Genomic DNA, 14,069 nt, shown 5'->3' with positions numbered 1-14,069 from the left:
TTAACCATAGCATGATTCCACTGGATAAGTTTTATTGGATTTTTTCAGGGGTGGAGCAGGGAAAGGTTTCTTAAAAATTGAAATATGTCATCCATATCATTAGAGTTTTAAAGTTAGTAATATGCTTAAGGCGGACTTTTTATGGTTAGCAAAGCTGAGAGGTTCTGACACCCAAAGGATGCAAAAAGAGATAACTTACATAAATGTATATGGTGCCCCGGAGGTGCCGCAATTGTATTATGGGGTTTCTCATGAATGGCCTTGGTTCAGACAGTAGAACAGTGAAGCAAAGCTAAGTGGTTCTGTACCGGATGGGCTGTGCATGTGACACATTACACTGCAAACAGAAGTAACTTTCAGCGCCAGAGAGTTTACTAGGAGGCACTGGAATATGAACTAGTACAAAATATATAAGGAAATGCATATCTTATTAAAAATGTTTCTTTAAAACAGCCACTGCATTTCTTTAAAAAGCCACTAGCTTTAAAATGGATAGCCTAACAGATTACATGGAATAATCTGAAAATGATAAGGTCTGAAGCTTAGCAAAGAATATATTTAATACATAAACTGGAGAATGTAGAAAATAGGATGGTATGATATGATTGATTGATTGAACTCTTTCTTAGAGATTTCAATCAGCCCTGAAGTTTATTTCTTCCTATTTTGAAAACTGCATTTTCTTTTTTTTAAATTTTGTTTGTGAAGTGCTTGCTTATACTGATTTTGTAACTCCTGAAAGGCAAAAAGCAAATAATTAGGAAGAAAGAGGTTCATGGCAGAATTCTAGTCAAGTACCACTTCTTACACGAGCAATTATACATAATGCTTAATTAATTGTTTTATATGTGTGAGGCAGTCTTGTCAAAATCAAGGATCCTCAATGGAACAAAAAGAAGGTGTGTTCACTAGTAAGCAGCATCACAAACATATGATTTTTCATAGCTAGGATTTACCTTGGAGAAAATCTCATTTCACCCCATTATTTTACATGTGACAAAGTGAGATGTCCATGTAATTTCTAGATGAAATAATAAAACAAGATTTAGTTATTATCTTTTAAAAAGATTAGCCACAGAGATGTTGATAAATTAGTACTCCTATTGCAAAGGTATCCTTCTTCTATGCTGTTAAACACTAGAGACCATGTGACTTATTCAGCTACTATAAACCAAAATGATAATAGTTGCTATCATTTATTGAGAACTGACTGTGTGCTAGGCTCAGTTCTAGACACTTTCCATATATTATCCCATTTAACCTCAAAATAACCCTTCAAAATAGATATTTTCATTCATATTGTATGGCTAAAAAAACTAAGGATCAGGTAACACCACAAGTTAAGGTGGCAGAATTACTATTGTAACTCAACTAGAGTCATAAAACCTACTTGCAATTATTTATTTAAAATATAGAAGGTAAGTATCCAGCAAAGAATTTCAAATGCCAGTAATGAATACAGATGCTTCACAACTTTCTCCACACATCTACCTCCTTGTGGACAAACAGATTTCTCAACTGAATAAGACTATCAAAAACAGGTGTCAGGGTATCCAATCATAGTCGGGTTTTATTTCTTCATACATCTGTATTGTTTTACAATGTGCGATTATAACTAGTGTTCGTATTAGACAACCAGAGAAGAAACTTTGATAAAAGACCACATTGGGCCATGGGCCAGGCACGGTGGCTCACGCCTGTAATCCCAGCACTTTGGGAGGCTGAGGTGGGTGGATCACCTGAGGTCAGGAGTTCAAGACCAGCCTGGCCAACATGGTGAAACCCCATCTCTACTAAAACATTAATAATAATAATAATACAAAAATTAGCCAGGCATGGTGGCGCATGCCTGTAATCCCAGCTACTGGGGAGGCTGAGGCAGGAGAATCGCTTGAATCTGGGAGGCAGAGGTTTCAGTGAGCCAAGATAGTGCCACTGTACTCCAGCCTGGGCAACAGAGCAAGGTTCCACCTCCAAAAAAAAAAAAGAGAGACCACATTGATTTAAGGGTCTCAATACAAGGACTTGGTATGTATTTCTGTTTCAGAAATATGCCCATTGGTGTATCTGCAACTATTAGAAGATTTACCTTCTCAGAAGATGAGATATTACAAAGTCAATATTGACAGTGATACAGGAAACTAATAGGTTTTCCAGAGGCTAATTATAAACAGGTGGTGGCTGGGGCCAAACTCCAGGAATCACAAACCCATTTTGTTAGAGCTCATTAATACTTCTATTCAACTCCAGGAAAATGTGCACATTCCGCAGCATTATAGGGGGTTTCAGGTTGGCTGATAATAACCAGGTGATTTTCCCACAAAAAAAACTGACCCAGGGATAAAATAAAACAATATAATTAGCCTTCCCATGCAGCAGGGCCTCTCATGGTAGTCACAGGTGGATTCCGCTGGAGCAATGATGGAAATGCTGTTGTTTAGTGACCAGGTAGGGGAAACTGTGGCAGCCTCACCACAGCTAGTGGTATCTATGCACACCCAGGTTGAGCCCAAGCACTGAGGCATCTCTCTTCTTCCTGATGGAAAGTGCAATGGGATTTTAAAATTTGATCTGAGTGTCTGACTGCTTCAGTGGAGGGCTCTGCAATTTCACATTTCATCTCAGCAGCTAATGTCCAGATCTTGTCAAATCACCGCCAAGAATGTACCACAGGGCTACCCTGGACAAAACCGTGCTGTTCTGTGGCAACTTGCACTCTGAGGGTTCAGTGACTGTGATGCAACCAAATGTGCTTTCCCATGCTAACATTAGAAGGGAGGCTGCTGCTCCCCTCCAAGAACATCTCGTTTTCTCTTCCACAACCGTCGTAGTGCAAACCTTTTTCAGCTGAGCTGCTAGTTTCAATTCAAAATATCCTATCTTGGTTTTTTCTGCGTTTAAAAAGTGGTAGAACTTATTTTGACAGTGAGACCCTGGAAGATGAAAACAGAAAGAAACCAGTTTTCTTCTTGATTGTTTTCTTGCTGACAATTTTATTGCCATTGTCTTCCGTGTGGCTAATGGTTGTTAGGCTGCTGGTCTCATACCAGTTATTTACGAAAAAAAAAGGAAGTTAGATGGATTTTTAATATACTCTTTTTCCGAATTTCTTAAAGATGGAGAAAAAGGTGCTACGGACACCCCAAAATGCAGATTATTAATTAGATAAAAAGTACAAAAGTACTTTCAGGTCATTTTATGATTGCAGAGGCTGACTGAAGTCTGTTAAGTTTGTATCTCGTACTTGGCAAGATATGAACCTGACTTCTCACATGCTATTTCACTGACAGCCTATTTTAAAATTTAAAATAAATTTTCATTACTCTTGATTTAAAGGTCATGAAGTTTACTGATTTCTTTCTATTGCATGGAACAAAATAAATTTTCAAAATATTTTATACAGCCTCAACTTTGAGATCCCTTTGAAATGCAAGAAAATAAAGATCCCCACCACAATAGAATGAAAATTTACCTTCAGTCTATTTGCCACTGGAATTACTACAAGTTCAAGATCAACCAAACAGGTTGAATCACTTTAAAATCTCAATGGCCTAATGTTTTAAAAGATCGTCTTTTTGTAAATGATATCATTCTGGAATATTAAAATGTCTTACAAATGTACATTTCAGAACTTAATTCACTGAAATGAATATTATTCCCTTCAGAGCAGTTATCTTAAAAAGGAAAGCCCTTTTTCCAGTAATAATTTCATTGCTCAAAATTTGAGAACTGTCTTTATTCCTCTTAGGAACTAATAAGAAAACTGTCCTGTTTTTAGTCCTATTTTCTTTTTTTGACTCTAAGTAGCATAAGCCATCTTTCTCATCTACTTAATGTCTAGACCTGGCAATAAATTTTTGTGTTGTTGTTTCCAAAGTTAAATGATCAAAGATCAAAACTTTGTTGCCATCAAAGATATTTAGAAGATTGTGCTACAGGATTTGAGGACAATCTCAAAAAGGGAATTTCAAAAGTACGGTTCAAGCCATGTCAACAAAATTTAGAATGCTATGCTCAACTTTGCAGGGTCAGTGCTTGCAGAGGAACGTCACTCACCTTTCTTCTTGTCCTGCCTCTTGTGGCCGATCCCCTGTCAATGGCTGGCTCCTGACACTGGGCAAGCTGCCTATTTCCCTCGTCTATAAAATGATGCCAAAGGACTAGATGCCTGCAAAGGATCTTTCCAGTTCTAAAATTCTAGGACAATGATGCATGGTTCTCTATGTGACACTTGATTGTTTTTGTTTGTTTGTTTTTAATTAAAAGTCACTTTAGGCCACACCTTTAATGTGTTCAGTCATCATATCAGTGATTGGGGATATTTCTTCCATAGTCTCTTTTCTTCTCACACTCTCCTGTATTAACATTTAGTGCCATTTAGGGGCAAGAACAAAGTTTTTATTCCATTGAATTTAGGGCTTGTGGACATTTAAAATTTTTTATTGTAGATCAGAGAATGTATCAACCTTGTGTGTGGGGATAGAGAGAAAAAGAATGTGCAAAGATTCTCATGTAATATAAACTTGTTACATTAAAAAAAATCTGCCAACACCCCTGGTTCTCATTATGATGTTAATCTTTCATGTATTATGCACTAATCTGATTGACTCTATTTACTTTTTAAAAGCTCGGTCCTTCCCTTTTCTGTTGGCATTGCAGCAGTTGCTTACCTTAAAGGAAAAATGATGGTTAAAAAATACTTCCTGTGAAATGCTGCCAGTTGCAGGTATTTGCAGGACATGTCTGGTTCTATTTAGGGTTACTTTCTTTCTTTAGCATCCTTGGCCATATAACCTGATCTTTTCCATAAGAAATGTCAGCAAAGTCTTTGAATTAATGAACTGTGAAGTGCTCAAAAACATACCATTTCAAAAAGTATCCTACAAGGATATAACAGTAATGGGAGGTGATCCTTGAGTTTATAACCAAATATCCCACCCTAACTAAAAAGAACTAAGATAACCACTGGCCCAGGCACAATCTCCCTGAACAAAGACCTAGAGAGGAAGAACTGATGAGGAGTGGGGGAGGTCAGAACCAGAGTAACAATCTGGGGAAATGTATTTATGTTAGCCTGTCGAGCTCTGTTGAGCACTTCCGTCAAATAATGGAATTATACAACCCCCCCTATAAAAGATACCAGGTGGAGAATAGCAAAGAGAAGGGAGGAGGAGGTGAGGTGTGTTCAGAAGGTTGATCAAATAAAACTGAATGGTAGGTCCTTGGCTACACCAAATGTGGGTTTTGTTTTCTTTTAATTTTGCCATTAAAAAAAATGCGGTGTCACTCCTTCAATCTTTCTACAATTCTGCATGGTTGAACATTTGAAATGAGTTTGTGTATCACCCTCAGGCGCTGATTCAGACTTGATTGGGGCAAAGCAGACTGCATGTGCTTATTTTTATCCACGTCATTTGGGACGTTATGTCGCCAAAGGAACCAAAAATGTGCTGCTCTATTGCCAAATTATCACCTATCCTTTTATCAGACAGGGCGATGATCCTCAACAAGTTGTGCGACCTTAGTGTAACAGCAATGTCAGGTCAACTTGAGAAAGTGAAGAGAGAGCCCTAGACACAAATAAAAAGAAACAACCAACAATCCTTATAATTATCATCATCTGCTGCTTTTCCCTCTTTTGGCAAAGAAACACTCCATCCATTTGCAGAAATCGCCCGCGGAAACGTTACATCAAAACTAATCACAACGATTAAAATCAGCTTTTCTGTGCAAGAGGAGGGTAAAAAGCAAGTTAGAGGCTGGAATGAGACTGTTTTTCCACCAAAAAAAAATCTGGAAAAAAATTTCCTATGTGTATATTTCTCTATACGTATATGTAGAGCTTTATTTTTGAAGGAGATCAATTGTTTGCCCTGTGATCGGTTAATTTGATTTAAGTTTTATTTTGGAGATTGATTTAGACTAGAGGTAGAGGCATGAGCTAATTGTATCCTGATCCTTGCCTTGAGGGGTTTCAAAGCCCTGGAGCAACTCTTCTCTGTATTTTGTTCTGTCTACCTTAGCCAAGCTATTGCATTTCTCTCTGGTGTGGCGAGCCGAGCAGATCGCTGGGAGAGAAATCGGAAAAGGGGGGAGAGGAAAAGGAAAAGGGGACTTGGAGAGAGACTTTGTGCTTCAATGTTTCAGGTAAGATCTGACGGTTTGGGTTTGTTATTATTTGCTAAGGAGGGTATGGCTGGGACTTTGGGCGCAACTCGCTTTTACGCATGTGCCAGGCATGGGGCGAGAGCGCGGCACACTCGCACACACGCCGCCCGCCGCGGCGGGCGACTAGGAATCCGCTTGGACCCGCGGCGGGGCAGGGGCCGCCGCCTCCTCCGGGGCTGCCGCTCCCGGTTCTCGGCTTTCTTCCTCCAGTGGGAGCTGGCGAGAGCAGGGCGGAGCAGAGCGGGCAGGAGGAGCGGGTGCGGCCAGCAGGGGCCGCGGCCGGGGGCCGGGTTTCCGGATCTCTGGGCCGGGTTCCGGATCTCGGAGAGGAGCCGCCGTGGCTCTGGGAGCCCGTGCCAGAGCCGCCCGCCCGCCGCTCCGCGCGCCAGCCTCCCCGCGGCCGCTCCGCCGCGGCTCTCCCCCGCCCTCCCCGAGCCCCTCCCTCCTCCCCCGAGCCCCGCGCGTCCCTTTCTTCCCCGGCGCAAAGCTCCGCGCCCGCAAACCGGCCCCGCCGAGAGCGCCCAGCGCCGCGGGGGCGCCCAGAGCCAAGCGCACATCTCTGCGGGGCGCGCAGGGGGCGGCGGCGCCCGGGGCTGCGCTCCTGCCGGGGGTAGGGGCCCCGCCGCCCCCTTCTCGCAGGCAGCCTCGGCGGCGCCCCCGGACGCCCCGTGAAAGACGCCATTGTGGCGGCCGAGCGGACTGGGGCCCGGGGCGGTTTTTCCTTCCCCCTTTTGCCCGGGCCGGACCACGCCGCTCCCCTTTGTGGGCCGCGGCCGGTGCCCGGCGCTCTTCGTCGCCGGCCGGGCTGGTCCAGATTCGCCGCCTCCGCCCACCCAGGCGCCTTTAAAGCCCCCTCCCACTCCCTCCCATCTCCAGCCCTCCTCCCCCTTTTGGATGCAAACGTTTCATTTATTTTTAAAAAGCTCTTATTCCTCTTCCTCCCCACCTCCTCCCCGGATAAAGGGCACAGCACATGCTCCGGATTAGAAGTCTCCTTGGGAGGCGGGGAGGGGGTGGGGGCGGCGCTGGGACGGGGGAAGGATGCGAGCGCTGCAGGTAATGGCTGTGGCTTTGCTGCGCTCGCCTCTTCCCGGCGCTGCGGTCAGCGCCAAGTCAGGAGCCCGCATCCTTCCCTCCCCTCCTGGCGGCCTAGGTTCCCTTAAAGGGACAGTTTCCCGGCCGCCTCTGGCCTCCGCCGTCTGAACCAGCGCTCGGGGCGCAGAGGTGGGCGGGAGGGATTCAGTTTGGCTCCTTTCTGACCTCTTTCCTCCTCCGCCCCCCCAACTGCCGCCGCCCCCCTACCCACTCCCGCCACCCTTCTTTATTGAATGTGAAGTGTGCTTCCTCTCCCGCCCCCAAGAGGGACCTGGCTGGAAAACAGTCCGCGCCTCCTGGAAAAAGAACGGGGTGGGGGGCGCGTAATGGTGAATTCGCGTTAAAAGTGAGGTCGAGCCCCAAAACATCCAGGAAGAGGAAAGCAGACCTGGGTGCAGGAATCCCTTACCTGCACGCGCGCTCCGCACAGCCGCCCCGCCACCGCAACTTGCGAACTGTCGCGGGTAGACAGTCTGCCTTTGTGCTTTCGAACACTTGCACTGTCGTGGAAATGATTTTCTGGTATCAAAACGTTTTCAGTGACTGTGCTTCGGGGTTCGGCTGGGCGGAAGCCAACTAAGTTAGCAAAGTCGCAAATGGGGCCGTTGGCTTTGTACGTGGAGAATGGCACACCAGAACTGTCCAGGATCCCAGTGGCACTGGCTTCTTCGCTAAAAGGTGCACCGCAGTAGGCAGGAGTAATTTGGTACAAATGTATTACCTTTTAGATAATAGAACTGGCTGCTTTCAAGCAAATCCTTGACTATGCGGTATGTGTGCGTGTGTGTGTCTGTGTGTGTGTGTGTGTATCCTGAGTGGTACTGGGAGACATAACAGTTTAACATATTCTTTAAGAAACGTTTGCCTTCTGTTTTCAATCAACTAAGCTGGCAGCTAGAGATACAAGTTTATTTGAGAATACCCTCTGGGTACCAAGCATGCTTGGATTGTTTTAGCAAATTAAAAATGAGCAAAATGCTTTTACCTTCTCAGCAGTAGACTCCTTAAGAGACCTCCTGTTTTGTGTGTATGTGTGCGTTTTTTTAGAGAAACATTTTCTGTGTATATCTCAAATGTGTTTTTAATGTGGAAAAGGAGAAAATAAAGGATTTTAAAAGGCTGAGGCTGATGCTGTAGAATGATTCATTAAACCTGATTCTGCATCAAGGAATTCACCTACATATATGGGAATCTGTGGCAACTAATAGCCTACTTGGTGAATTTAAAATAGCAGTGGATCCGTTTGTCTCCTGGATAATGGGCAGTGTGCCGATTTATTCCTCGTGTTTGTATTTGTGTGGCATTTGGCTTACTACGAGGGGCTGATATTCAGGAAACTAAAACACTGACTGCAACAGTTTGACTCGGGAGTCCTGCTGCTGCCTGAATGGAAAGAATTGTGAGCAGTGGTTATGATGACAGTAGGTTAAATGTTTACTAATTAGGTTGCAAAGGTGACCATGAAACTTTAAAACTTTGCATCACGGAGAAAACTTCATTGGGTTAGGCTTATGTTAAGAAGAAGGTATCTAATTAGGCAAAAATGTCACACAGCCGGGAAGAAATTTTGAAATGAATTGAGGGTGAAAGATATTTGTCAAAAATCTCCCACCACAGTATGCAAAACGACTGCAGTGATTTTGCTGTATTAATTATGCCTGAAGCACAATATATAAAGTTCTCCAACACACACTAGATGTCTCTCTTCTAGCTGTAAGATTTTTGTGTTTGTAATTCTTTGCCAGGGCTTGCATAGTAGGGGTGCACAGTAATAGCTTGTTTCATATTTACTTAAGTAATGTGATTTACCGACCATTCAACTTACTCTGATGTGAGATATTTATTTTGGGGGAAGCCTTCAGTAATCATTGTACAAATTATGCCACTTAAGTATTAGGAAAGTAACTTCAGTAAGACTTCAACTAGATGATGATGAAAGCGTATTATTCGATTTGCGTTGAATAATGCATTATGGACCTTTTGGCATCAAATTATTTATCCAAAGCAATTTAGGTTTTTAAATGTAAGAGTAATTAGTGACAGATGTATTTTATCAGAGAACTTTCTTAAACTTCCATTTAGCTCTGCATTTAGCAATAACAATTGCTTGCACAAATGCTTTCTTGTCTTAATGTTTCTGAATCAGAGTGATAGTTTTCTACTTCTGATGTGATGTTTTTAGCTAAGGTCTTTTCCCATTTGCATTGCATTTGAGTCATTCAAATGATGTTTGTGAACCATTACTTCACCAACGTTTTTATTTAGTGTTTATTAAACTGCATTTCTGAACCTTCTTTTGGACTGCAGTTTATAATTTCCCAAGCAAACAGAGCATTTATTTGCTCCATCTTTAGGACGAACTATCTTGGGAATAAAAGTGAAATTTTTGGATGCAAGCATGTATGCTTATTTTAATAGCTTACTCATGCAGAAGTGAGACACAACTCGCTCTGGCTTTTCATTCATAAAAACATGCTAGATGTAAATAATGTTTTGCTTGTTGATGAGTTTGGTTTGAGATAACTGAAGAAAACAAAACAGATTATCCTTTAAGCATAATAAGCCTGTGTTCATTAGGTCCATTCATTCATTCATTGAACAAATATTTGTGCTTGCTGTATAGGAACTACTGTGTTAAATGCTGGAGACACAATGGTGAGAAAAAGCATTCAGAGCCTCCAATCTCATGGAGCTTATAGTCCAGACAGAGAGGCAGACATTCATCGAATAACTGAACAACTGACAGAGATGAGTGCTTTGAAGGAAGAGGAATATGGGGTTCTGGTAGCATTAACTTAAAGAGGGCCAAAATGGCCTGGACCAGGGTCAGAAGTGCCACACACTGAGATCTAAAGGATGAAGGGGCCTGGGCAAGAGAGACAGAACAGAGACGAAGTTCCAGGGAGAAAAAAGAAGGAACAGTATTTTACCAAGCCAGGAGAGGCTTAGCAAAGGGGGAGGAACTCAGGGCTTAACTGGCTGGAGTAAGAGACGGAGGAAGCAGTGATGCAGACTGCAGGGACAGGCACCTGGTCTTCACCCAAGAGTAAGTGATGGGGAGGATTGGGAGAGGGGCAGCAGTAATCAGATTGGTGTTTGGAAAGAATAACTCTGCTGGCACTCTGGGAAGTGGTCAGAGGGACCCAGATGGATGAAGCATAGCCCTTGGAAGGCTATTATAGTCATCCAGGCAAGAGAAGATATAGCTGGGGTTAGGGTAGGGGAAATACTGATGGAAGGGTTTGAGATCTATGTAGAGGGGAAAGTTTACAGAACCTAATAAAGGGTTGGCCATAGGTGAACAAGAAGAGAGAAGTGTCAAGTGGACACCTAAGTTTCGGGCATGTTAATTGAATAGACGCGGGAATTCTGAAGCCTGGGTGGATTTTGTATCTTTCACGTCATTTCTAATAGCCAGATTAAGTAGCAGTGAGAAGCCTCATTCACATCCGGTGTAACAGCATTCACAAAGGAAACCAAAGCATCTAGTCATTCTTTAATCCCTCCCTCCATTTGTTCAACAATTGGGTCTGGAGTGCCTACAGTGTATCAGGCACTCATCGGCCGGCTCTTTTTATCCTGTTATCCAAAATGCTTTTCCTTTATGAAGTGTACCATGTGGTTCCATTTATCCAAGTCTGACTAAGTTGGAATTCATCATTGAAGTAGGCCTATGTTGAGCCTTCTGAAACAAACCTGTGCCTTATAGTGCAAATTAATTGTATTAAAATATTATAAACATGTCAGATGATTATGAAATGAATGGTTGGATGCTTTTTAAAAGTCCGTTTACATACAAATAACTGACACAATTATGCAAATCACTCAACTGAAGACACTTTGAATATCACTCTCTCCATAGGGGTTTGATGTACAAATGCAATTCCATAAGCTACTTTTCTTGGTGGTTCTCATGTGGATGGCCCTGAGGGCAAATTCCAGTTGGAAAAACAACCATCATTTTGGCCTATTCCTTTTTCTCTATAAAAATGGGAACGATGTCATCTCTCTAACCTGCCTTACAGGATTGTTAAGAGGAAAAATAAGAGTATGTCCAACTGAAGTGCATATAAGTAGTATCAATCAACCCCAAAGGGCACTTTCTCTGGAGGAGCCACCCCAAGTCTGGCCCCTGCTGTCTCAGTCCCTCGGTCCATATCAGTCTCACCTTATCTCAGCTGCCTCTGAAACCCCAGGCACTGGTAACATCCATGGCTAAGATTTAGGGAACAAGTAGCAGAGGCCGTCTGGAATACCTATCTCCCTGAGCCCTCCAAACAAGACTGTGAGGCAAGTAGTATTCTGCACCCATCTTGTTCTGCACCCACCCTAGGTAACATGCCCGAAACCTCGGTGTCCACTTGACACTTCTCTCTTGTTCACCTATGGCCAACCCTTTATTAGACTCTGTACACTTTACCTTCTTCTTCTTCTTCTTCTTCTTTTTTTTTTTTTTTTTTGAGACCGAGTTTTGCTCTGTCACCCAGGCTGGAGTACAGTGGCTCGATCTCGGCTCACTGCAACCTCCCCCTCCTAGGCTCAAGCGATTCTCCTGTCTCAGCCTCCTGAGTAGCTGGGACTACAGGTGCCCGCCACCATGATCGGCTAATTTTTCTATTCTTAGTAGAGGTGGGGTTTCACCATTTTGGCCAAGCTGGTCTCGAACTCCTGACCTCAAGTGATCCGCCCACCTCGGCCTCCCAAAGTGCTGGGATTACAGGTGTGAGCCACCACACTCGGCCAACTTTACCTTCTAAATAGATCTCAGACTCTTCCATCAGTGTTCCCCCTACCCTAACCCTAGCTGTACCTCCTCTTGCCTGGAGGATTAGAAAGGTTATATCCGTTTCCTGAAGTCAAAGACTAGGCTAGTGGCAGAGCAGGGATTCTAACTCAGCTGGCTGACTACAAAACCCTGCCATTAGCCCCCATTAGCCGTTCTGCTTTCTCATCTACACCCATAGTCCTTTCTGTCCAGGACATACTATTTAAGCCCTTTTCAAGGGCACTTGGCAAAGGGCTTGCTTGTTCTGCCACCGGCTTCCATTCCTCCTGTTCTCTCTTCGCCCCCACCTCTGTATCTCCCTGCCACACCAGCACCCTGCTGTTATGCCAAGAGAGAAAGAAAAAAAACAAAAACAGTGTGAGATTGTTGTGAGAGATTGTTGTGATCAGAACATGTGAATTGGTCTCTATCTCTTGCTGAGCAAATCGTTTGCTCACAAGTACTCTGTCATGCTGACCAAAATAGGGATTTGTTTTCTATCCAATGGGAACTGACAACAATTCAGCCCTTGCTGCCGACACCAACGCTGCTATTAAGAAGAAGAGTTATGAACTGAAGAGAATGTTAACGAGATAGATTTCAAATGCTGGCTAGAGGAAGGGATATTCTTCCTGATAAATCTTTCCAAAGCATCTACTGCTATCATCACTGACTTGTTTTTGTAGCACTTTCACTTTGCTGGAAATTTGTAGCCAATGGAACAGAAAATGTGTGTAAAACAAAAGACCCAGACTTTCTATGTGAGGGGGAGAAAAAGCTACATTGGTCCATGGTACTGATCCTTCTCTATCCTACCCATCCATTCCCACCACCCCATATGCAAATCCCACTCCATCTCTGTCTGTGCTGTATTTTCTTGGTTAAATTACTGAATCTCTCTAAGCTTCAGTTTTCTGAACTACAAATGAGGTAATAATATGAGATCATTGTAAAGGAGATAATAATAGTCCTAGAGTTGTTCAGAGAATAAAATGAGATGTAACAGGATGTATATGCCTAGCACAAAATAAGCACTCAGAAAATATCCATATATTGTTAAGAGCAGGGACTGTGTTTATTCACCTTTGCTTTCTCAGTTCCTTAATACAGTGCCTGGCACACAGGATAAGTGCTCAATAAATAACTGTTGGATACATGAACACATAATTTCAGGGGACGCAAGAATAAAGCCAGATGTTGATTTCACTTCCCTGTAAGTACTTTTTGCCATTGACAAGAGGACCCAAGTTCTGCCAGATACCCTCACCTGCTGGTTATGGGCTTTTTCTAACCAATTAGATCAATCATTTGGGAACAGATCAAATTTGATCTGGGGAAGCATTGATGCTAAGTAGGACGTTGCCTCAAAGATGGTCCTGTTTTGCCTTTTGATTACTCATGTGGAGGTCGTCCTGTGCACAGTTGTCATGGGATTTCCAAAATCTGCAGACACTTACGCTATGAAATGATGCAAATGCACCACTAGGTTCTGAACCCCCACAATGGGAGTCACTGAATTTGCGTATTAACACTGAGAAGAAACACGGGACCCGGTCTGATACCCATTCCATCCAGCAGATGGCAGTGACACACATTGGCAAGTAAACTTGGAATCGCCTCTGGTCTTGCTGTTAGTTTCTCACCATTGCCTCTCTCTCCTGGAAAAGGAAAGCCCAGCCAGCTTTAAAAAGCTGCCTTTTCCCAGCACTTTGGGAGGCCGAGGCAGGTGGATCACGAGGTCAGGATATCGAGACCATCCTGGCCAACATGGTGAAACCCCATCTCTACGAAAATACAAAAAAATTAGCCGGGCGTGGTGGCGCGTGCCTGTAGTCCCAGCTACTCGGGAGGCTGGGGCAGAAGAATCGCTTGAACCCAGGAGGCGGAGGTTGCAGTGAGCTGAGATTGCGCCACTGTACTCCAGCCTGGGCGACAGAGCAAGACTCTGTCTCAAAAAAACACACAAAAAAACAAAAAAGCTGTCTTTGCTCCTTCACCGAAACAACCGAGGCTCAACGGGGACAGCTGGAAGGATCAGCAC

At 43.5% G+C, this 14,069-nt stretch overlaps 1 protein-coding gene and 1 long non-coding RNA gene across 2 annotated transcripts in view, besides 3 other annotated features; one reads left to right on the top strand and one right to left on the bottom strand.

Annotated features, from left to right (window-relative positions):
- The window catches only part of LOC102725227 (uncharacterized), a 33,938-nt gene extending 26,162 nt beyond the window's left edge, over positions 1–7,776 (bottom strand). Inside the window, exon 1 of the long non-coding RNA XR_935311.4 lies at positions 7,673–7,776. This is a non-coding gene — a long non-coding RNA (uncharacterized LOC102725227). The remainder of the gene's footprint in view (positions 1–7,672) is intronic.
- Positions 6,034–14,069, top strand: part of KCTD1 (potassium channel tetramerization domain containing 1) — a 202,564-nt gene continuing 194,528 nt past the window's right edge. The window contains exon 1 of the mRNA NM_001258222.3: positions 6,034–6,147. Coding sequence (NP_001245151.1) covers positions 6,139–6,147 — 9 coding nt within the window. The 5' untranslated portion in view covers positions 6,034–6,138. The remainder of the gene's footprint in view (positions 6,148–14,069) is intronic.
- Positions 6,141–6,330: a silencer, noted in NCBI's record as "silent region_9380". NCBI's record gives its function as "represses an Ori minimal core promoter by ATAC-STARR-seq in GM12878 lymphoblastoid cells {active_cell/tissue: GM12878}" and the evidence as "EXISTENCE:reporter gene assay evidence [ECO:0000049][PMID:35858748]".
- Positions 6,341–6,580: a silencer, noted in NCBI's record as "silent region_9379". NCBI's record gives its function as "represses an Ori minimal core promoter by ATAC-STARR-seq in GM12878 lymphoblastoid cells {active_cell/tissue: GM12878}" and the evidence as "EXISTENCE:reporter gene assay evidence [ECO:0000049][PMID:35858748]".
- Positions 11,992–12,493: an enhancer, noted in NCBI's record as "NANOG hESC enhancer chr18:24230978-24231479 (GRCh37/hg19 assembly coordinates)". NCBI's record gives its function as "activates a minimal SCP1, AML or CMV promoter by ChIP-STARR-seq in naive H9 embryonic stem cells {active_cell/tissue: H9 hESC(naive)}" and the evidence as "EXISTENCE:reporter gene assay evidence [ECO:0000049][PMID:30033119]".

Source organism: Homo sapiens, chromosome 18, assembly GCF_000001405.40.
Source record: "Homo sapiens chromosome 18, GRCh38.p14 Primary Assembly".
NCBI classification, from domain to species: domain Eukaryota; kingdom Metazoa; phylum Chordata; class Mammalia; order Primates; family Hominidae; genus Homo; species Homo sapiens.
The sequence above is the reverse complement of the archived record's forward strand: the minus strand, read 5'-3'. Positions and strand labels throughout refer to the sequence as shown.